The 21,325-nt window shown below is 56.2% G+C and overlaps 1 protein-coding gene and 2 long non-coding RNA genes across 4 annotated transcripts in view, besides 5 other annotated features; 2 read left to right on the forward strand and 1 right to left on the reverse strand.

Annotated features, from left to right (window-relative positions):
• The window catches only part of LY6E-DT (LY6E divergent transcript), a 36,360-nt gene extending 35,334 nt beyond the window's left edge, over nt 1–1,026 (reverse strand). The window contains exon 1 of the long non-coding RNA NR_026913.1: nt 796–1,026. This is a non-coding gene — a long non-coding RNA (LY6E divergent transcript). The remainder of the gene's footprint in view (nt 1–795) is intronic.
• Nucleotides 1,027–1,164: 138 nt separating this feature from the next.
• On the forward strand, nt 1,165–5,045 carry LY6E (lymphocyte antigen 6 family member E). 2 transcript variants are annotated; one of them, NM_002346.3, is made up of 4 exons: nt 1,165–1,222; nt 3,519–3,627; nt 3,950–4,069; nt 4,202–5,045. In NM_002346.3, the coding sequence occupies exons 2-4, from the start codon at nt 3,576–3,578 to the stop codon at nt 4,423–4,425; spliced, it is 396 nt and encodes a 131-aa protein (NP_002337.1). In that variant the 5' UTR covers nt 1,165–1,222; nt 3,519–3,575; the 3' UTR covers nt 4,426–5,045. The 2 variants fall into 2 exon arrangements, with proteins under 2 accessions (NP_002337.1, NP_001120685.1); NM_001127213.2 differs by having other exon boundaries at nt 3,524–3,627.
• Nucleotides 5,902–6,665: an enhancer, noted in NCBI's record as "H3K27ac-H3K4me1 hESC enhancer chr8:144104683-144105446 (GRCh37/hg19 assembly coordinates)". NCBI's record gives its function as "activates a minimal SCP1, AML or CMV promoter by ChIP-STARR-seq in primed H9 embryonic stem cells {active_cell/tissue: H9 hESC(primed)}" and the evidence as "EXISTENCE:reporter gene assay evidence [ECO:0000049][PMID:30033119]".
• Nucleotides 6,666–7,427: an enhancer, noted in NCBI's record as "H3K27ac-H3K4me1 hESC enhancer chr8:144105447-144106208 (GRCh37/hg19 assembly coordinates)". NCBI's record gives its function as "activates a minimal SCP1, AML or CMV promoter by ChIP-STARR-seq in primed H9 embryonic stem cells {active_cell/tissue: H9 hESC(primed)}" and the evidence as "EXISTENCE:reporter gene assay evidence [ECO:0000049][PMID:30033119]".
• Nucleotides 7,428–8,191: an enhancer, noted in NCBI's record as "H3K27ac-H3K4me1 hESC enhancer chr8:144106209-144106972 (GRCh37/hg19 assembly coordinates)". NCBI's record gives its function as "activates a minimal SCP1, AML or CMV promoter by ChIP-STARR-seq in naive H9 embryonic stem cells {active_cell/tissue: H9 hESC(naive)}" and the evidence as "EXISTENCE:reporter gene assay evidence [ECO:0000049][PMID:30033119]".
• Nucleotides 8,954–9,716: an enhancer, noted in NCBI's record as "H3K27ac-H3K4me1 hESC enhancer chr8:144107735-144108497 (GRCh37/hg19 assembly coordinates)". NCBI's record gives its function as "activates a minimal SCP1, AML or CMV promoter by ChIP-STARR-seq in naive H9 embryonic stem cells {active_cell/tissue: H9 hESC(naive)}" and the evidence as "EXISTENCE:reporter gene assay evidence [ECO:0000049][PMID:30033119]".
• LOC124902034 (uncharacterized) lies at nt 13,369–15,056 on the forward strand. Its single transcript, XR_007061135.1, has 2 exons — nt 13,369–13,522; nt 14,280–15,056. It is a non-coding gene; the product is annotated as an uncharacterized LOC124902034 (long non-coding RNA).
• Nucleotides 17,994–18,639: an enhancer, noted in NCBI's record as "OCT4-NANOG-H3K27ac hESC enhancer chr8:144116775-144117420 (GRCh37/hg19 assembly coordinates)". NCBI's record gives its function as "activates a minimal SCP1, AML or CMV promoter by ChIP-STARR-seq in primed H9 embryonic stem cells {active_cell/tissue: H9 hESC(primed)}" and the evidence as "EXISTENCE:reporter gene assay evidence [ECO:0000049][PMID:30033119]".

Here is a 21,325-nt window from a genome sequence, read left to right on the forward strand (position 1 = left end):
CAGAGGGGAAGATGCCCTGCCTGTGCCCCACGTAAGACCCAGAGGCAGGGACTCCCCCGGGCCACAGCCTACTGGAGGCTCCTGTCCCCAGAGACAGCTGGGCCATCGCCCCCAAAGCTGTGGAAGCCCCACCCACGATGCCATCATACCACGGCCAGGACATCTCGTGACACACACAGCCCCAGCCTCAGCCTCCATACACACACACACACGCACCACACACACTCACTCATGCAAAACACACACACAGCCACATTGACTGCACCCCTAGATTTGAGACAGGGGTGTTACAGGTGTCTGTCAGCCCCAGCCCCCTCCTGACCACATGGCCACCTGCCCACCCTCACATTTCCGCACACCCTCCCCCTACTCCCGTGTGGGGTTCAGAAGACCCCTCCCTGGTGCTCGCCCTGTCACCCAGAAAGGAAACGCACTGTCAACTGGAGAACAGGCCGGTGGCAGAGCCCCAGCGCCCACAGCCCCTCGGAGAGGGCCTGGCGGGAGGAGAGGCACCCACCGATGGCAGAGCCTCAGTGCCCTCGCAGAAGCCAGCACCCACAACCTCCCACCTCCCAACCCTTGCCGGTCTCCCCACCCCCGCCTGAGGGATGGCCAAGGAACAGCCCAGCCTGGAGCGGGAAGCAGGGACAAGATGACCTCAGGAATCCCAGGCTGCGGGGGTGCCTGCGTCCTCCCCTCCCGAGCTCCACTCCGCAGGCGAGACCCCCAACACTGCTCCCCGACACTCTCCGAGGCACCCCTCCTCCGTGCTCACACCCAAACACGTCTGCTCACCCGTGGGCTTCCCACCCCGAACACAACGAGGACTGTCCAGGTGTCAGTGACGGTCACCCCGACCTGGTCCCCTGTCCGGCCTCGCCAGGTCAGCACCCGCCGCGCGCACAGCAGGGCCGGGTGGAAGGAGGCCGGGCCTGGCCGTGGCTCAGGCGCCACCTCACTGGGGAAACTGGGAGGTGGTCTCAGCCCCCTTCTGGGCCTCAGCTTCCCCATCTATCCCAAGGAGCCGGGGTAGGCCTGGGCGGCGCGGGGACCCCCACCGCGGGCTCGCCGACTCCGCCCGCCGGAGGCCCCTCCCGCGTCCCGCCCCTGCCCCCGCCCCGGGGCCGCGCGGCTGCCTGGGAGGCTCCGGGCCAGCCGCGGTCCAGAGCGCGCGAGGTTCGGGGAGCTCGGCCAGGCTGCTGGTACCTGCGTCCGCCCGGCGGTGAGTCCGCGGGCCCCCGGCCGGGACGCCCCCGCCACCTGCGCGCACGCGCTCAGACCCGGCGGCCTCGGCTGCGGTGCACGCGGCCCCGGCTCAGCCACGCGCGGCGGAAGGCGCCCTGCGGGGGCCGGGGCGGGAGAGGGTGGGAGAGAGCAAGAGGGGCGCACGGGGAGGCGCAGGAGAGGGGCTGGGGCTGCCGGTGGGTTGGTCCCCAGAGAGCTGAGCTTCTCCTCCCATCCCCCGCAGGCCTCCCCGAATGTTTCCAAAGATCTGGGGCGGGAGCGGGCGGAGACTGCCGCCAGGAGCCTCCCGGCCGCCCCAGGGCTGCGCAGCCACTGGAGCCCATCACCCAACTCCAGACGCTCCTGGCTCCTCTACGTGGGCCGGGAGGGACAGCCTTGAGGACTAGGGGAGGGGGCACGGGACCTTGCAGAGCTCCTGGCCGGAAAGGGAGGATTGACCGCCCCCGGCATATCACCCCGGAGCACTGGAACCCGCCCCCGCTTCTTGTTTTGGCACTGGTGGTGCTTGCGGTGAGGTCCAAGGAGCCCAGCCTCCCTGAGTGGACCGCCGGGCCCCTCCCCGTTCCGGGACACAGGAGAGGCTCCCGCCCCTTGCTGGCTGGGCAGCCCCTAGATACCTGGCTCCCAGGGGCCAGCTTCCCTGAGCCTGGGGATGAGCCATGAGCCTGCAGCCTGGGCCCCAGGGGCGCCCCCCACGGCCTGCCGGCTGGCTCCCTCCGGGCTCCATGGCCCACCCGGCCTTCCTAATTGCCTTCGGCTCCCACCGGTGCCTTAGCTCAGCCTGGTGGCCCAGCGGGTTGGGTGCCACCCAGTGAGCAGGTGGCGGCACCAGCTGGACCTGTTTGTGGCCCTGTATGCTAGGACTTCCTCAGAGACAGCTCAGGGACCCCCCCACACCAGAACCTCACTTTAGGGGGGTGGGGGGAAAAGGAATTGGAGATCCTTCCTCCTCGGGCTACTCCCTGGAGGCGGGGATAGGCCCCAGCCGGACTTGGCACTGTTTTTGGCCACCTGGGGCTCCCACTCCCAACCCCAGGATGTCAGCCCAGGTCTCACTGTCCTGGCCTGCTGCTCTCCCCTTAGGGCCTCTGCGGGCCCCTCTCCAGATCTGTTCTCTGAGGCATCCTCCTTACCCCCAGTGCCCAGCACTAGCTCCCCAGGCCCGGGATGTCCCTCCCACTCCTCTGCCCACGGCTGTCCCTGACAGAAGGCAGCAGCCTCCCCCTCCAACACCATGCACTCACAAAACAGAGAATCACGACCCCAGCTGGGTGTGTTCCAGATTCTTTCTCCAGCAGTGCAGAGGGTCCTGTGCAGAGGCCGAGGAGCAGTACAGCGACCCATCTGGCCCTTTCCTGCTGGTGGGACCAGTGGCACGCAGCCTTGTCTCTCGGAGCCCATTTCCCAGCCACAGAATGGGGAGTAGCAGATACTGAGTGGGGTGCTTTCCTCGGAACTGAGTAACATCAGGAATGGGGAGTGCTTTCCCCCTCAGCCATGCCCCACCTGGCCCCAGGTCTCCATGTGAGGGGAGCTGCCTGGGCTCAAAACACTGAGCCATCCCAAGGAAAATTCTAGATACAGATTAGCTAATATACACTGACAGATACACATATAGATGTGTATATAGATTTCTCTTTTTTTTGAGACAGGGTCTCACTCTGTTGCCCAGGCTGCAGTGCAGTGGCATGATCATAGTTCACTTCAGTCTTGAACTCCCTGGCTCAAGAGATCCTCCCACCTCAGCCTCCCAAGTAGCTGACCACAGGCACGTACCACGCCCGGCTAATTTTTGTATTTTTTGTAGAAACAGGAGGTCTCACTGTGTTGCCCAGGGTGGTCTCAAACCCCTGGCCTCATATGATCCTCCTGCCTTGGCCTCACATAGCATGGAGATTACAGGCGTGAGCCCCTGTACCCAGCCCCAGACTAGCTAATATTATGACTGATCACCATTCCCCATTCCCCATTCCCCCACCCCAGGACCACTGGCAGAGGCCACTCACTCTGCCTTCTTTTCTGTGGTTCTGAGAAGGCTGCTGAGTTTCCTCCTCTTGCCTGTGCAGCCCCCTCCTGCCAGGTTTCAGGAGGGAGATAGCCTAGAGCATGTCTGCACTGAGTGAGGAGTGGGTCAGGAGAGAAGCAGGGAAGTCCTTGTGTGCTGGCAGGTCCCTTCCCCTCTGCTGTCTGTGTCCTCATCTGCAAAGTGGGGGTGCATGGTCTTGGGGAGGAGTGAGGCACCACCCGGCCCCCTAACCAGTGTGTCTCTCCAGAGCAGGACAGGCTGCTTTGGTTTGTGACCTCCAGGCAGGACGGCCATCCTCTCCAGAATGAAGATCTTCTTGCCAGTGCTGCTGGCTGCCCTTCTGGGTGTGGAGCGAGGTGAGGTGCCCTTGGGGACCCCAGACCTTTGTCCAGCTGTGCCCTGCTCCACTCCCTCTCCACCCCTCTCCCCTGAGCAGACGCCCCAGGGGTCCTTCCAGGCCGCTCCCAGCAGAGGGCTCACCCGGCCTGGCCACACTGTCTCACTGTGTGTTTGAGTGTCGCTTGACCTGCTCGACGGCCAGGGTGGGGTGTCACTGTCTTTGCTCTGCCTTCAGCCCAGGGCCTGGTATACAGTAATTTCTCAGTAAATGTCCACTGGGGTCAGGCCTGGGAGGGACACTGGAGGCTTCCCTGAGACAGGTGTGTCCTCCTTCCGCAGCCAGCTCGCTGATGTGCTTCTCCTGCTTGAACCAGAAGAGCAATCTGTACTGCCTGAAGCCGACCATCTGCTCCGACCAGGACAACTACTGCGTGACTGTGTCTGCTAGTGCCGGCATTGGTGAGTGCCAGGCCTCAGACCGTGCCTTCCTCCCCTGGCCATCTCCCTAGCCCGGGCCGGGGCTCAGCAGAGGCCATTGCTGTCTGTCTGCAGCCGTCTGTCTCTCCCCTGACAGCCTCATTTCCCATGCAGGGAATCTCGTGACATTTGGCCACAGCCTGAGCAAGACCTGTTCCCCGGCCTGCCCCATCCCAGAAGGCGTCAATGTTGGTGTGGCTTCCATGGGCATCAGCTGCTGCCAGAGCTTTCTGTGCAATTTCAGTGCGGCCGATGGCGGGCTGCGGGCAAGCGTCACCCTGCTGGGTGCCGGGCTGCTGCTGAGCCTGCTGCCGGCCCTGCTGCGGTTTGGCCCCTGACCGCCCAGACCCTGTCCCCCGATCCCCCAGCTCAGGAAGGAAAGCCCAGCCCTTTCTGGATCCCACAGTGTATGGGAGCCCCTGACTCCTCACGTGCCTGATCTGTGCCCTTGGTCCCAGGTCAGGCCCACCCCCTGCACCTCCACCTGCCCCAGCCCCTGCCTCTGCCCCAAGTGGGGCCAGCTGCCCTCACTTCTGGGGTGGATGATGTGACCTTCCTTGGGGGACCGCGGAAGGGACGAGGGTTCCCTGGAGTCTTACGGTCCAACATCAGGACCAAGTCCCATGGACATGCTGACAGGGTCCCCAGGGAGACCGTGTCAGTAGGGATGTGTGCCTGGCTGTGTACGTGGGTGTGCAGTGCACGTGAGAGCACGTGGCGGCTTCTGGGGGCCATGTTTGGGGAGGGAGGTGTGCCAGCAGCCTGGAGAGCCTCAGTCCCTGTAGCCCCCTGCCCTGGCACAGCTGCATGCACTTCAAGGGCAGCCTTTGGGGGTTGGGGTTTCTGCCACTTCCGGGTCTAGGCCCTGCCCCAAATCCAGCCAGTCCTGCCCCAGCCCACCCCCACATTGGAGCCCTCCTGCTGCTTTGGTGCCTCAAATAAATACAGATGTCCCCCAGCTTCCTGCTCTGAGTGTGGCTGCCCCTTGCGGGGAGAGGCAGAGCACCCCAGGTTTGGAGGGTCCTGGGGTCTTCTGTGGTATGGCCCAGGGGGGTGGTGGGGGAGGAGGAGTCGTCCCCTGAGCCACAGCCAGCTGCTTGCCTGACCTCAGAGGGAGCCCCTCCCCAGTGCTCTGCCCTTTCTTCTGCCCCAGGTTCAGCAGGTCAAGTGAGTTCCTCCTCCCACAGCGGAAGGAGGTGTTGGGGGGCATGGAGGAAAGAAAGCGGGTGCAAGAAGGAGCACGCTCAGGCTGGGGCAGCACCCAGGGCCGTAGGACTTGGGAATGGAGGGTGTCTGTCTGGACCCGCTGGTGCAGAGGGTACAAAAGCTGGGCTGGGGCAGGACAGACGGGCCGGAGTGTAGTGAGTGGCCTGTGGGAGGGGCAGGGGGCTCCCACGCAGAAGCTCTGGGCAGCAGCCCTGACCCATCCGTGCCTGGACTGCAGTGCTGCCCGCTTCCCCCTGGCAAACAGGTGGCAGCCTCCTGACAGAGGAAGCCGGCCCAGGCCGCCGTGTCTGCAGTTGGGTGCTGTGCGCTGCCCAGAGGGCTCTTTGGGCTGGAGAGAGAAAACAAGAACAGACACCCAGTGGAGGTGTGTTTGTTCATTTCTCCGGGACAGTGGGAGGGAGCCGGCCAGGGTCTCAGCCACTTAGGGCCCGACCCTGAATTTTCCCGGCTGGCCAGAAACTGTGGTGTGTGTGTGTCAGGATCCCAGGGGCACCGTCCAGCAGGAGGGGCCGGTGGTCAACGTGGAGGCCCGAGATTCCCACCCCTGGCAGCTGATGTGAATAGCCGGGTCCTCCCAGGTCCCTGAGGTCAAGGCAGGTCAAAGACCTGTGTCCTCCTCCTGGGTCCCTGAGCTAGTGATTCCTGTCTGAAACACATGAATCATTACTGCCACCCATGAGGGGCCCATTGTAACCGAGCGAGAGGGCCTGGAAGAGGTCAGCGGGAGGAGGGGCCTGATCGGTGGATCAGCTATCCCTGTGCAAGGACCCGGAGCCCATCAGAGCAGCCTGCAGAGACTGAGCTTGAGATTCCGTCGGGAGTTTGGATTCGCTGAGTGGGTCGCTCTAGCATTGAGAAATGCAAGCAGAGAACAGAGGGTGGAAACCAGATGGTCCAGGAGCCTGGGCACTGTAGCCAGGAGGACAGAGATCCCGGTGTTCGGGCCCCGGTGTGCAGTGCGTTCACTGCATTGTTCACTCGGAATCGCAGGTGGCTTTGCTGGAGGGACAGACAGTTGATCATAGTGGAGCTGGTGAGAGGAAGCTGCACCCAAAAGCCATGGCCGGGAACCTGGATCTGACTGCAGGGAAACAGAAGCGTGGTGGGCGCTGGGCGATGATGGAATTTCTAACAAATGCTTTGTTTCTGCTAAAGCTAACTTGCGCTTCCATCTCTGGCATCTCCTCCACTTCCCAGGTGAGCTGACTGGTTACTGAGCCTCACAACCACACTGAGACGGGGGCGCAGTCATCCCCTCGTTTCCCCAGGGGAGACAGGCTCAGAGTGGAAGCCGCTTGTCCTCCTAGGATCTGGGACTCGGGGCCCAGCTCTCCCTCTGCTCTGGGTTTAGGGCTGAGGTCAGAGGCAGCCCTGACCTCCTGCTGGTGGTGGGTAGGGTAGTCCCGCCGGGTTCCTGCTGCCCCGCCCTCGGGAGGCTGGAGGCCCCCCAAGGACAGGTGGTTTCCAGGAGCAGCGGGAGGGAGCCCGGGTTGTGTCCTGGGCCTGGAGCAGAGAGGGGAGGAGCCCAGCGCCTGAGTTTCAATTTCCTGAAGCCTGGGGGAGGGAGAGGAAGAGAGCCTCGTTTCGTTTCGGGGCTCTGGACCTGAGCCTCCCGCCCAGGGCCCACCGCACCCCGCTAGGACCTGGGATTTCCCAGTCTCCACACCGGCCCGGAACTGGGCCCCCTCCTCTCCGCAGCCCATCCAGCCCCACTTCCCCGCTTCCCCGCTTCCCAGCATCTGCCCGCGGATGAGCCTCTGGAGGATGGGCGGCCCGTCCCGGCGCTGCCCCTCACCCACCCCCCACCGCTCAACCCCTGTGGGGACTTCCTGCAGTGAGGCCCAGGCAGGACGCTGCGCTGCCTCCCCCATCCACAGCCTCTGCCCCCTTGACACCCCCGCCCTCTGCGGTGCCTTGCAGGAGTCGCCAGCCTGTGGGCCCGGGACCATTTCACACGCTGTCCACAGTCGTGGAAACCCGGCAGCCACAGCAGGCCTGGGCCCACGGTGCCTCCACCCCTCCGTCAGCCCCCAGCAAGTCTTCCTGGGGGTCCCCAGCCCTGAGTGCGAGACCCTCCAGGCTGCTTCTGGACCTCGGGGCTGGGGCTGAGCCCGATCCTGGCTGGAAATGAGTGCAGGGCCGGGCTGCCTGGGGGAAGGCCCTCCAGTCTCTGAGCCCCACCCTGGGGAATTTGCTGGGACACCTTGAAGGCCGCAGGCCAGACCCCAGGGGTTAATAAGGGAACAAAGTCCTTGGGCGAACACCTGCATTTACTATCTGAGCCAGCAGGCAGCTAGGATGCTGGGTGAGGGGGTCTCTGGGCTGCTGGGCGGCCAGGCGGGGGCATCGGGGCAGGAGCTGAGGGCTGCACTGGGCAACCACCCTGAGCTCCTGTTTACCCACCAGGGGCAGTGCCAGGGCGGGCTGGGCTCACAGCAGAGCCCAGAGGAAGGGGCTCAGGCTGAGCAGGAGCTCCCTGACAGCCTGGCACCAGAGGCCACGCCGCACTGTGGCCGCCTTGTTACGGAGGCTATTTTCACAGCAGGTCATGTCCAGCTTCTCAATCTTCGAGTCAATCAGTCTATCCTCAATTTCTGTGGGGTAAGACCCTCCAGGGACCACAGGATGGGTGAGGTTCATAATCTGGGCACAGAGTGGGGCCACAGCCCTTGCTAGTGTAGCTGAGCTTCTGCCCTGTGGGCAAGAGAGGAGGGTGTCTGGCACAGGAGGCCCCACCCGACCCCCTCGGACCCGCCCCAGGACCGCCCCCTTCAGGGAACCTTGAAGCCAGTGGGGACGCGGAGGCGAGCAGAAGAGAACGGGCGGCGGCCCCAGGCCCCACACCAAGTCTGCAGTCCATTAGATGGAGGTCCCTGAGCTCTGTCCCCAGATCTAAGCTTCCACCAGGCCAGGGGGCTCAAGGCAGAGCCCCTGGGATGCTGCCAGAGAGTGCCCTGCCCACCCCTCACCTGCCTACAGACGCTGGGTCCCACCCAGGACTCACCATCGATAGTGCCAGTGACCACAGAGGAGGGGCAGCTTTGAGCCTGCATGGGATAGGAGACGGGGTGACACAGGCTGGGGTCCAGGACACCGTAGCACTGGAAGCACTCAAGGCCCTGGCCTGGGATGGGGCGGGGAGGGTGCAGGTCAGGGTCGCAGGCTGAAGGGTGGGTTCCAGTCCCTCTCACCAGCACCGGCAGCAGGCCTGGGCAGCACACAGGTAGGCTCAGGTGCCCTTGGCTACTCAGAATTGTGGGCAGGGTCCTGCTGGCATCTGGAGCCCCCAGCATCAAGAGGGTCTTACTCCCACCTTCAGGCCTCCTTCCCATCCCCCACCCTCAGCCAGCAGCAGCATGGGGCTAGTGACCTTCATGGTCTTGGGTATGGGTGCATTGAGGGCACGTGTGGCACAGAGGCTCTGAGCCTGGGAAGAGCTAGGGGAGGCCTTGCACCCCCGAGCCTGGGAACCTCTGCCCCACTTCTGGTTTGTGATGAGGAACCCGGATTGTTTGTGTAAAGTGCACACAGCTGATGGCCTCATCCCATCATCTCACAGAATGGGAATTGAGGGGTAGAAACCCTTCCTTCCTGACCTGGCTGCTCTGGAAGGCAGACATGACCTTGAGCAAGACCCCTCTCACCCCACCCCTTCTCTGCCTGGGGCCTCCCAGAGCTCAGGGTGTGAGCAGAACAGATCCGGAGGGAGGAGGGGCTGCGGTGAGGAGAGGAGGGGCTGCGGTGAAGAGAGGAGGGGCTGCGGTGAGGAGAGGAGGGAGAGGTTGTCCCCTGGGGTGGGAGGACGCCTTAGGAGAAGTTCTGACTCAATAGAGAGGAGGGTCCTGGACTAGGGCCTTGAGTTTCAGTTTCAGTTTCCTGGTACATCACAGTGTTGGTGTCTGAAGCAGGAGAGAAAAGCAGCCGTGAGACCTCAGGTCACACCCAGGACCAGGCCCTTCCCGCTCAGGATGAGGGTCTCTGGCTGAGCCCACCACTGGCAGGCCCCCGTGCAGACAGAGCCTGGGAGGGGCCAGCAGGGCAACAAGCTCTGACACTGAGACCCCAAGCCAGGCACCCCTTGTTTTCTGTGCAGGGAGCAGAGGCCCCTGTAACGGGGTGGGACGACATGGGGGCTCCCTTGGGGCAGGGGAGGAGGGGTCCAGAACTCTGTCCTGGCCACAACCGGAACCACCCCTGTCCCTCCCCCCTGCCCACCCCCATCACACCCACACCCGAATTTGTTCTTCACGGAGAATCAGAAGACACAGGAAATGGGCCAGGGGTGACTGACTGCAGACTCCACCCCCCCTCCCCAACCAGGTGCTGGGCAGAAGGAAGAGAGGGCTGCCTGGGCTGTGGGGACAGAGCCCTTGATGAAGACAGATAAAGGCAGCAGACCTGCATAAGGATGGGTCGCCTCTCCGGTGGGTGGTCCCTTCCGAAAAGCAGAATCCACTCTGTGCCCTCAGGGGTCTCTGCTTGGAGAGTCCATGGCATCTGAGAGGATGGGCCAGGTGAGGTGGGGGTGGCTCCTGAGAGCAGGGAGGACAAGGGCGGAGCTGGAGGCGTCAGGCCCAGAAGACCCCCCCAGTGACTCGGGGCAGCTGTGGGCAAGGCTTGGACCCAAGAGGCCTGACCACCCCGCCTGGCAGCACACCAGAGCACAGGCCAGACCTGAAGGGGCAGCGCCAGGGGGGCCCATGGTCCACGGGTCACTCTGCTGGCCCTGCGGCCACACTGCTCAGGTCCCAGGGCCTGATGATGGCTGAGCCAGACATCATAACACCAAGCAATGGAGAAGTTAGAATATTGCTAGGGATACTGACTTGTATTTTTGAATCTTAAAATATATGTTTTAATCTGACATCTATAAGCAGTGCATGTTACATGCCAGTCAGAGCACGAGCATCCCCAAGAGGTGTGCACTCTGTGTATCTATGGATAATGAAAGCACGGCTTTCACACAGCAAGTTATCCTCACTTCCTGTGATCAACTCTGATATCTTCTACTTTATTTGAAAGAGTATTGATTGTGTCCCACTCGACTGATTTTACACCCTCTATGTACATGGTCCCCAGTTTATGGGCAGGGCGGTTATTTTGTGTTTTATTTTGTTTTTGAGACGGAGTCTTGCTCTGTCGCCCAGTCTGGAGTGCAGTGGCGCGATCTCGGCTCACTGCAACCTCCGCCTCCCGGGTTCCAGCGATTCTCCCGAGTAGCTGGGATTACAGGCGCCCGCCACCATGCCCGGCTAATTTTTTTATTTTTAGTAGAGATGGGGTTTCACCATGTTAGGCTGGTCTCAAACTCCTGACTTCAAGTGATTTGCCTGCCTCAGCTTCCCAAAGTGCTGGGATTACAGGCATGAGCCACCACACCTGGCCTGTTATGTTTTTTGAGATAGGGTCTCCCTCTGTCACCCAGGCTAGAGTGCAGTGGTACAATCACAGCACATTGCAGCCTCAACCTCCCTCCCAACCTCAACCTGCAGGGGAGGGGAGGGAGAGGAAGGGAGGCTCATCTCAGGGCTCTGAACCTGAGCCTCCCACCAGGGATTTCCCAGTCTCCACACTGGCCTGGAACTGGGCGCCCTCCTCTCTGCAGCCCCATCCAGCCCCCACTTCCCAGCATCTGCCCACGGATGAGCCTCCGGAGGATGGGCAGCAAGTCCTGGCACTGCCCCTCACCCGCCCCCCACCACTCAGCCCCTGTGGGGACCTCAGGAGGTAAGGCCCAGGCAGGACCCTGTGCCACCTCCCCCATCCACAGCCTCTGCCCCCTTGACGCCCTTGTTACAGAGGCTCTTTTCACAGCAGGTCATGTCCAGCTTCTCAGTCTTCAATCAATCAGTCCATTCTCAGTTTCTATGGGGTAAGACCCTCCAGGGACCACAGGATGGGTGAGGTTCATAATCTGGACACACAGGGAGGGCCACAGCCCTTGCTAGTGTAGCTGAACTTCTGCCCTGTGGGTGAAAGAGGAGGGTGTCTGGCACAGGAAGCCCCACCCGACCCCCTTGGTCCCACCCCAGGACCGCCCCCTTCAGGGAACCTTGAAGCCAGTGGGGACACAGAGACAATCAGGAGACAAGCAGAAAAGAACAGGCCGCGCCGAGTCTGCAGTCCTTCCAGGCTCAAGCGATCCTCCTGCCTCATCTTCCAAGTAGCTGGGACCACAGGCACCTGCCACTACCCCCAGCTATTTAAAAAAAAAAAATTTATAGAGATGGGATCTCACTATGTTGCCCAGGCTGATCTTGAACTCTTGGGCTCAAGTGATCCCCTTGCCTCAGCCTCCCAAAATGCTGGAATTGTAAGCGTGGGCCTCTGCACCCGGCCTGGTCCGCAATTTAAAAACACACAGCCACCATTCCCTCTCCAGAAAGCACCCAGATGCCTTTGGGAGAACCAGCCTCCTCCATGGAGGAAAGCTTGGGATCTGCCTTCCCACCTGGGGAGGAGAGGGATCTGTGGAAAATCCTTCTGACGGACTTCCCCTCAGTGCCTGATCCATACTCAATAGTAGAAAAATTAAGAAATATACAAAGATAGCAGATACACGGAGACAGTTCCCCAAATAGCTGAGCGAATAGCGCAGAAGCAATATTGAAGACCTAATAGCTGAGACATTTCCAGAACTGATAAAGTGCGTCCAGCCACAGATCAAGCAGCCCAGAAAATTCCAGGCAGCATCAACAAATAAATAGCCCCACATGCACCCGTGAAAATGCAGAAGACCAAAGAAAAAAGTCCTGTCAACAGCCAGAGAAAAAGATCAGCCACCAGGGGTCGGTAGTGAGAAGGACAACTGTGGAAGCCAGGAGAGATGACAGCCCTGAGTTCCACAGGCAATGGAAGAAAGACTGTCAGACAGAAAGGTTGTCCCCAATATACTTGCACTAAAAGAAAATCTTTTTTTAATTTATTTATTTATTTATTTATTTTAGACAGGATCTCACTTTGGAGTGCAGTGGCGGGAACACAGCTTATTGTAGCCTTGACCCAGGCTCAAGCGATCCTCCCACCTCTGTCCCCGAAGTAGCTAGGATGACAGGTGTGCACCACCATGCCCAGCTAATTTTTGTATTTTCATAGAGGCGGGGTTTCTCCCTGTTGCCCCAGCTGGTCTTGAACTCCCTTGATCAAGGAATGCTGGGACTACAGGTGTGAGCCACAGCACCGGCCAAGAAGGTCTTTTAAAAAGTCTTTTCGGGCACGGTGGCTCATGCCTGTAATTCCAGCACTTTGGGAGGCCAAGGCGGGTGGATCACAAGGTCAGGAGTTCAAGACCAGCCTTGCCAAGACGGTGAAACCCCGTCTCTACTAAAATTAGCTGAGTGTGGTGGTGGGCACCTGTAATCCCGGCTACTCGGGAGGCTGAGGTAGGGAATTGCTTGAACCCGGAGGCAGAAGTTGCAGTGAGCCAAGATCATGCCACTGCACTCCAGCCTGGCGACAGAGACAGACTCTGTCTCAAACAAAAAAAAGAAAAAGAAAAGAAAAGTGATCTTTAGGCTGGACATGGTGCATGGTGGCTCTCACCTGTAATCCCAGCACTTTGGGAGGCCTAGGCAGAAGGATCGCTTGAGTCCAGGAGTTCCAGACCAGCCTGACCAACATGGAGAAACCTGTCTCTACTAAAAATACAAAAAAATTAGCCGGGCGTGGTGGCGCATGCGGGTAGCCCCAGCTACTCAGGACGCTGAGGCAGGAGAATCGCTTGAACCCAGGAGGCAGAGGTTGTGGTGAGCTGAGATTGTGCCATTGCGCTCCAGCCTGGGCAACAAGAGCAAAACTCCATCTCAAAAAAAAAAAAAAAAAGTGATCTTTAGGCCGGGCACAGTGGCTTGTGCCTGTAATCCCAGCACTTTGGGAGGCTGAGGTGGGTGAATCACTTAAGGTCAGGAGTTGAAGACCAGCCTGGCCAACATGGTGAAACCCCATCTTTACCAAAAATACAAAAATTAGCCGGGTGTGGTGGCACGCACCTGTGATCCCAGCTACTTGGGAGGCTGAAGCAGGAGAACCACTTGAACCCAGGAGGCGGAGGTTGCAGCGAGCCAAGATCTCGCCACTGCACGCCAGCCTGGGCAACAGAGCGAGACTACATCTCAGAAAAAAAAACAGTGATCTTTAGCCAGAAGGAAAATGGTCCCATTCAGAATCAGAGATACCTCAAGTGATGAAGCACAGATTCGTAGAAATGTGGTGAGTCTAAATGAACATCAATTCTATTAAAAAAGATAAAATAGTGGCCGGCGCGGTGGCTTACGTCTGTAATCCCAGCACTTTGGGAGGCCGAGGGGGGCGGATCACCTGAGGTCAGGAGTTCAAGACCAGCCTGACCAACATGGTGAAACTCCATCTCTACTAAAAATACAAAAAAAATTAGCAAGGTGTGGTGGCACATGCCTGTAATCCCAGCTACTAGGGAGGCTGAGATGGGAGAATCACTTGAACCCAGAAGGCCTCTCACGCCATTGCATTCCAGCCTGGGCGACAGAGCAAGACTCCGTCTCAAAAAAAAAAAAAAAGTTCTGTCTTGTGGGAGATTTAAGTTTTTGTGGTGAAATTAAAATTCATACCATAAATACAAACCTGGAAAGGAGTGAATACAATGAGGCGAACCCACTGGGCGGTTACACAGTGGCCCACAGCTGTAGTCCCCACTACTCAGAAGGCTGAGGCAGGAGGACGGCTGGAGCCCAGGAGTTCAAGACCCACATGGGCAACATAGTGAGATGGAGCAGGGACCCCTCCTAGGTGCCTGCCAGGCTCTCCCAAGCTTGGAAATCAAGGAACACTCTTGAATCCCTTCAAGGGAAATTCCAGTCACCTTGCCAGCCTTGAAAGGTAAGTGAGCAGCCTGCCAGGAAGGCGACGGGAGCACGGGTCTCCCAAGCAGGCCACAGCCACAGGTGGTTTGCTTCCCTATAGAAACTAAAGCATAACATACATTCTCAAGTCTTTCAGAAACCCCCACCCGGTGGAAAATGCCGACTGCTATCACAGAGACCCAGATAAGGGGGAACTGAGGACTGAACTCTGGCCGTGTTCTCTGTCATGAATTTCTTCTTGAGGGGCCTGGAGGGAGTCACAGCTGTGAGCCACTAATGTGTGCCCCCATGCACACAGCACCCTTGGCATAACTAACTCCATCTTAGAGACTCCATTGTATATCTTACAGGGCACTTGGCCAACAAAGGTAAGATGTTTTGCTTAATAAACAAGTTAAAAATAAAGCCTGCATCCAAACAGATGAGGACGCAAGCAAGCGCACTCTTCAGATGTCACTTCTCACGGGAGGCCTCTGTGATTGCAGAAGGAAAGGCCCCAGCAGAACTCACCATCTGCCGCCTGAGGCTCCACCACCTCGAAGACATCCTTGCAAGATCCACAGACTGGCCCAGACCAGGAGGTTTCTGTCTTCTTCTTGTGTCTTCTTCACTCTCCTGGACTGGTTCGTGAACCCTTTCTCCTATCTCTGTTTCCTCTGGATGTTAAGTGCTACTTTCTTTGTTGTGGAACGTTAACCTGTAACATGTATATACTGATTAAGTACACTATTACGTTGTCGTGTGCAATATTGGCTGACATGTGCAGTGGCTTGAGCCCGTGTGACCGCAGCTCTCACTACTGAGGGAAAGGAGCACTAAGCAGCATGCCTCCTTGGGAACGCCGTGTGGCTCGTGGCTTTAGGGATTGAAATAGCCTCAATAAAATTCTGACATTGTGAAAGACACAGGCATGCTTGGATGTGATTATCTCTAACTTTGCACTGCTCATGACACCCCATGTATTGGTTAATGATTTTGCCTGCAACTTCTGCTTTCCTGAAATGTACCCATACCCCTAAAAACCCCAGCTTGTAAGCCACTGGGGAGTTTGGGTCTTAAGCGTGAGCTGTCCGTTCTCCTTGCTTGGTACCGTGCAATAAATATCATCTTTCCCCTGCTGCAAATTGCAACATCAGTGTTTGACTTTACTGCCCTGGGTGAGAAGAGCCCAGCTCGGTTCAGTAACTGTAGAAGACTGTAAGAGGCGTCCAAACTGGAGTGACCCCATCGTGAATAAAAGCTAAACAAAGCCACACCTGCTGGGTGACATTCCCAGGGGTTGGGCATTGTGTGTCACAAGATGCCTGTGGTTGAGGGAACGAGTTAATAATGCTAACTAATTAATCAGACGCAGAACTTAAGGAAATGTCCCAACATTTTAAGAACAAAAAGCATTCTAAGTTGGAGAATAAGATTTGCTTTAAAAATAATGGTATAGGAGTCAGGTATGGTGGCTCACACCTGTAATCCCAGCACTTTGGGAGGCCAAGGTGGACAGATAACTTGAGGTCAGGAGTTCGAGACCAGCCTGGCCAACATGGTCAAGATACCTCCAAATCTTTATTTATGTATTTATTTATTTATTTTGGAGACAGGGTCTCATTCTCACTCTGTTGCCCAGGCTTTTTTTTTTTTTTTTTTGAGACGGAGTCTCACTCTGTCGCCCAGGCTGGAGTGCAGTGGCACAATCTCGGCTCACTGCAACCTCCGCCGCCCACGTTCAAGCGATTCTTCTGCCTCAGCCTCCCGAGTAGCTGGGATTACAGGCGCCTGCCACCGCACCTGGCTAATTTTTGTATTTTTAGTAGAGACGGCGTTTCACCATCTTGGCCAGGCTGGTCTTGAACTCTTGACCTCGGGTGATCCGCCTGCCTCGGCCTCCCAAAGTGCTGGGATTACAGGTATGAGCCACCGTGCCTGGCCTTAACTCTTCTATAAATAGATTACCAACAGACGAAAGAAAATTTAAGGCATAAAGCATGCAGTTAAAAGGCTTAATTCAAAATGACAAAAAATACTGTTAACCCAAAGATGATAATTCTAAATTTTTTAACATCCATTAAATGGTCAGAAAATAAATAAAACTAAAGTTGAGAGAACTAAAAAGAGAAAGAATCATACTCTGAGGCCCTGTAACACCCCTTGTAATAGCAGATGAAAAATCAACAAAGATAGAGAGTTAAAACAGGATAAATAGGCCGGTCACGGTGGCTCATGCCTGTAATCCCAGAACTTTGGGAGGCCGAGGCGGGCGGATCATGAGATCAGGAGTTTGAGACCAGCGTGGCCAACATAGTGAAAACCCGTCTCTACTAAAAATACAAAAAAGATTTAGCCAGGCATGGTGGTGTGCGCCTGTAGTCCCAGTTACTCAGGAGACTGAGGCAGGAGAATCGCTTGAACCCAGGAGGCAGAGGTTGTGGTGAGCCAAGGTCGCGCCACTGCACTCCAGCCTGGGCAACAGAGCAAGATACATCTCAAAAAAAAAAAAAAAAAAAAAAACCAGGATGAACGAAAGAAATTAATGGAGGCTGATCATGTCAGCTCACACCTGCAATCCCAGCACTTTGGGAGGCAGAGGTAGGAGGGCTGCTTGAGCACAGGACAACATAGGAGGACCCTGACTTTTTTTTTTTTTCTTTTTTTTTGAGACAGAGTCTTGTTCTGTCACCAGGCTGGAGTGCAGTAGCACGATCTTGGCTCACCGCAATCTCCGCCTTGCAGGTTTAAGTGATTCTCCTACCTCAGCCTCCCGAGTAGCTGGGATTATAGGCACGTGCCACCATGCCAAGCTAATTTTTGCATTTTTAGTAGAGATGGGGGTTTCACCATATTGGCCAGACTGGTCTCAATCTCTTGACCTCGTGATCCACCCACCTCGGCCTCCCAAAGTGCTGGGATTAAAGGCATGAGCCACTGCACTCAGCAACCCTGTCTCTTTAGAGCAAATTTTAAAGCCGGGCGCAGTGGCTCACGCCTGTAATCCCAGCACTTAGGGAGGCCAAGGTGGATGGATCACCTGAGATCAGGAGTTTGAGACCAGCCTGGCCAACATGGTGAAACCCCATCTCTACTAAAAATACAAAAATTAGCCGGGTGTGGTGGCGCACCCCTGTAATCCCAGCTACTCAGGAGGCTGAGGTGGGAGAATTGCTTGAACCCGGGAGGCAGAGGCTGCAGTGAGCCGAGATCGCGCCACTGCTCTCCAGCCTAGGCAACAGAGCAAGACCCCGTCTCAAAGCCAAAAAAAAAAAAATTTTTCAATTTAAAAATTTTTAAAAATAAAACAAATTTTAAAATTAAAAAAAGAAAGGTAACCGACATAGAAAACTGATCACAGCAATTCCAGAACACACACACTTTTCAAGTACACACAAACATCTACAACTATGGATCACATAATGAGCCATGAAAAAGTCTCCACAAATTAATTGAAATCATACAGAGTGGCTTCTCTAATTACAGTTAAATTAGACTAGAAATTATTACCCAAAACAAGAAAATGCTCCTCTGTTTGGAAATGAACAAGTATAGTTATAAATAACGTATATGTCACAGAAGAAATCAAAAGGAAAATAGGATTTCGCTCTGTTGCCGAATGCAACAGGAATGCAGTGGGTCCAATCAAAGCTCACTGCAGCCCTGACCTCCTGGGCTCAAGTGATCCTCCCGCCTCAACCTCCTAAGTAGCTGAGACCACAGGCACGCACCACCACATCTTGCTAGTTTTTAATTTTTTTTTTGAGACGGAGTTTTGCTCTTGTTGTCCAGGCTAGAGTGCAGTGGCACCATCTCGGCTCTGCAACCTCTACCTTCAGGTTCCAGCGATTCTCCTGTCTCAGCCTCCCAAGTAGCTGGGACAACAGGCATGCACTACCACACCTGGCTAATTTTTGTATATTTAGTAGAGACGGGGTTTCACCATGTTGGCCATGGTTGGTCTCGAACTCCTGACCTCAGGTGATCCGCCCTCCTCAGCCTCCCAAAGTGCTGGGATTGCAGGCATGAGCCACCACGCCCAGCCATAACTGCATGCTTTGAGAGAACTGTATCCACTGTTAGGTCTCAGAAACCAATACCCCAAAATATGGCACTTTGACATGCTGAAGAAACTTCAAGAACTTTCTGTCCTCCCCCACAACCCACAGACTCTCCCAAAGTTAGGATGGAGTTCTCTGAAGTTCCTTTGTCTGCCTAAAGTCTGGACTCACCAAGAACAATTGTGTTTTCTTCCCCCTACCCCCAGACAAAGAATGTCACCATACCTGAACAAACCCTTTCACAAGATAATAATGTCTGTCCCTCAGGCCCATTCACATTCCAAAGAGAACTATCTACAAGTTAATCTCCGCTCCCTGCTCCACTGCCCTCAGAATCCTCTTCTCCCCTCATGGCCTGTGTGGCCAGGATGGTCCCTAAGCGTCTGAACCCCGCTGCAGGGTGCGGGATATCGCTCTGCGTTTTCCCCTGTGGACACATTAATACATCTCTGCGCCTTTTCTCCAGTTAATCTGCCTTTTCTGAGTCGCGTTTTCATGGAAATGTCAGGGGTTAAAAGGGAAGATTTCCCACTGGCCCTTACCTTCATACATTAAAAACACATTCAGGCTAGGCACGGTGGCTCATGCCTGTAATGCCAGCACTTTGGGAGGCCAAGGCCGGAGGTCAGGAGTTGGAGACCAGCCTGGCCAACAGGGTGAAACCCTGTCTCTACTAAAAATACAAAAATTAGCTGGGCCTAGTGGCACACACCTGTGATCCCGGCTACTTGGGAGGCTGAGACAGGAGAATCGCTGGAACCCGGGAGGGCAGCTGGACGGGAGGGCAGCTGGAACCCGGGAGGTTGCAGTGAGCCGAGATCGCGCCATTGCACTCCAGCCTGGGTGACAAGAGAGAGACTCCATCTCAAAAAAAAAAAAAGATTCAACATTAATGAATGAAGCATTCATCACAAGAAATTACAGGAAGAACAGCAAATGGAATCCAAAAAAACGGAAGAAAGAAACGAATAAAAGTGACATCAGAAATTAATAATATGGAAATTATGTACATATTAGGATACACAAGTTAGTTATTTCTTTGGATAAACTAAAAACTTTGATAACTCTTGCTTTTTTTTTTTTTTTTTTTTTTTTTTGAGACAGGGTCTCACTCTGTTGCCAGGGCTGGAGTGCAGTGGTGCAATCTCAGCTGACTGCAACCTCCGCCTCCCAGGTTCAAGCAATTCTTGTGTTTCAGCCTCCCAAGTAGCTGGGATTACAGGCTTGTGCACCATGCCCGGCTAATATTTGTTATTTTTTGTAGAGATGAGGTTTCACCATGTTGGCCAGGCTGGTCTCAAACTCCTGACCTAAAATTATCCACCTGCCTCAACCTCCCAAAGTGCTGGAATTACAGGTGTGAGCCACCACGCCCAGCCTTAAAAATGTGGATAATTCTTGTGGGAGACCAGTCAAGAAAAGAAGAGGAGAAAAACAGCCATAATAGCAATGGGGAAAAAATCAGGATCAACAGAGTCTTCAGCCGGGCGCAGTGGCTCACACCTGTAATCCCAACACTTTGGGAAGCCGAGGCAGGTGGATCCCTTGAGCCCAAGGGAGAAATAGCGAAGGGGGACACGTCACACTTTCAAACCATCAGATCTCCTGAGAACTCACTCACTATCACCAGAACAGCAAGGGGGAGGTCTGACCCCACGATCCAATCACCTCCCACGTGGCCCCTCCGCCAATTCCACATGAGATCTGGGCGGGGACACAAATCCAAACCATCTCATCCTGTAACTTCTTTCTCCCTAAAGGGTATAAAATCGAGCTGTACCCCGGCCACCTTGGGCACATGTTCCCCGAACCTCCTGAGTCTCTGTCATGTGAGGTCATGGTCCTCACATTTGGCTCAGAATAAACCTCTTCAAATATTTTAGAGTTTGGCTTTCTTTCATCAACACATCCCATCCTGTAAAACGCAGAGTAAGCCGGAGAGAATGGCTCACACCTGTAATCTCAACACTTTGGGAGACCAAGATGGGAGGATCATTTGAGGCCAGGAGTTCAAGAGACCAGCTTGGCCAACAAAGCAAGACCTCATCTCTAAAAAAAAAATAAGTAAATAAAAACAAATGTGAGTGACTTCACTCTTCTCTCCCAGAGCCTCCAGTTGTCACTTTTCTGAGTTTCTTCAGGGTCTCTTGAACTGTACTCAGGGTGTCAAGAGGTACAGTTGGGAAGGATGGGGGCCTCTAATGAGGGGGTTAAGAGCATCATTCTGGAGGAGACATGAGGGAGGCAGCAGAGAGGGGCTGTGGTGTGGCCTTCACACACTGCAACTCCTGGAGGTCGGGCAGGGGCAGGATGTCCAGACAGTGGACGCATGAGTGGGGAAGCCTTCAGCCACCCTGACTCCACCTAGGAGGTGCCCCAAGGCAGAACCAGCAGCTGAGCCTGGCCAGCCCCGGCAGCGATGAGAGACAGTAGGTTTTGGGGTGACCAACAGGGAGCCCCAGCAGGAGCCCAGCAGGAGAGAGAAGCTGGATATTGATCCTGCTGGCCCCTCCTGCAGTCCGCAGGACTGTCCACAGCCCTCGCTCCTCTTAAGCAGCTCACCTGCCTTGGTGGCCCCTCCCCTCCTGGCCCCTCCTTTTGGGCCTGGGTTGGGGGTGGCAGGGGTCCTGTCCCTGCACCCGGAGTGGAGTGGGATATGGCACTGGAATGTTTCTAGGCAGCCCACTCCTGTAAGAGGGCCTGGGGCTGGGCCCAGTAGTTCACACCTGTAATCGCAGCACTTTGGGAGGCTGAGGCAGGAGGATCGCTTGAGCCTCGGAGTTCGAGAGCAGCCTGGGCAACATAGAGACCCCACTTCTACTTGAGAGACACACAGAGAGAGAGAGAGGGAGGGAGGGAGAGAGGGAGGGAGGGAGAGAGAGAGGGAGGGAGGGAGAGAGAGAGGGAGAGAGGGAGGGAGGGAGAGAGAGAGAGAGAGAGAGAGAGAGAGAGAGAGAGAGAGAGAGAGAGAGAGAGAGAGAGAGAGAGAGAGAGAGAGAGGGAGAGAGAGAGAGAGGGAGGGAGGGAGGGAGGGAGAGAGAGAGGCTTCTGGTAAATGCTCCTATTTTGCAAACTCTCTTCCTATTTTGTGATTAGGATGCTCCATCAGTTTCTGCCACCAGCTTGCTGGAGAC

Source organism: Homo sapiens, chromosome 8 (assembly GCF_000001405.40).
Source record: "Homo sapiens chromosome 8, GRCh38.p14 Primary Assembly".
NCBI classification, from domain to species: Eukaryota; Metazoa; Chordata; class Mammalia; order Primates; family Hominidae; genus Homo; species Homo sapiens.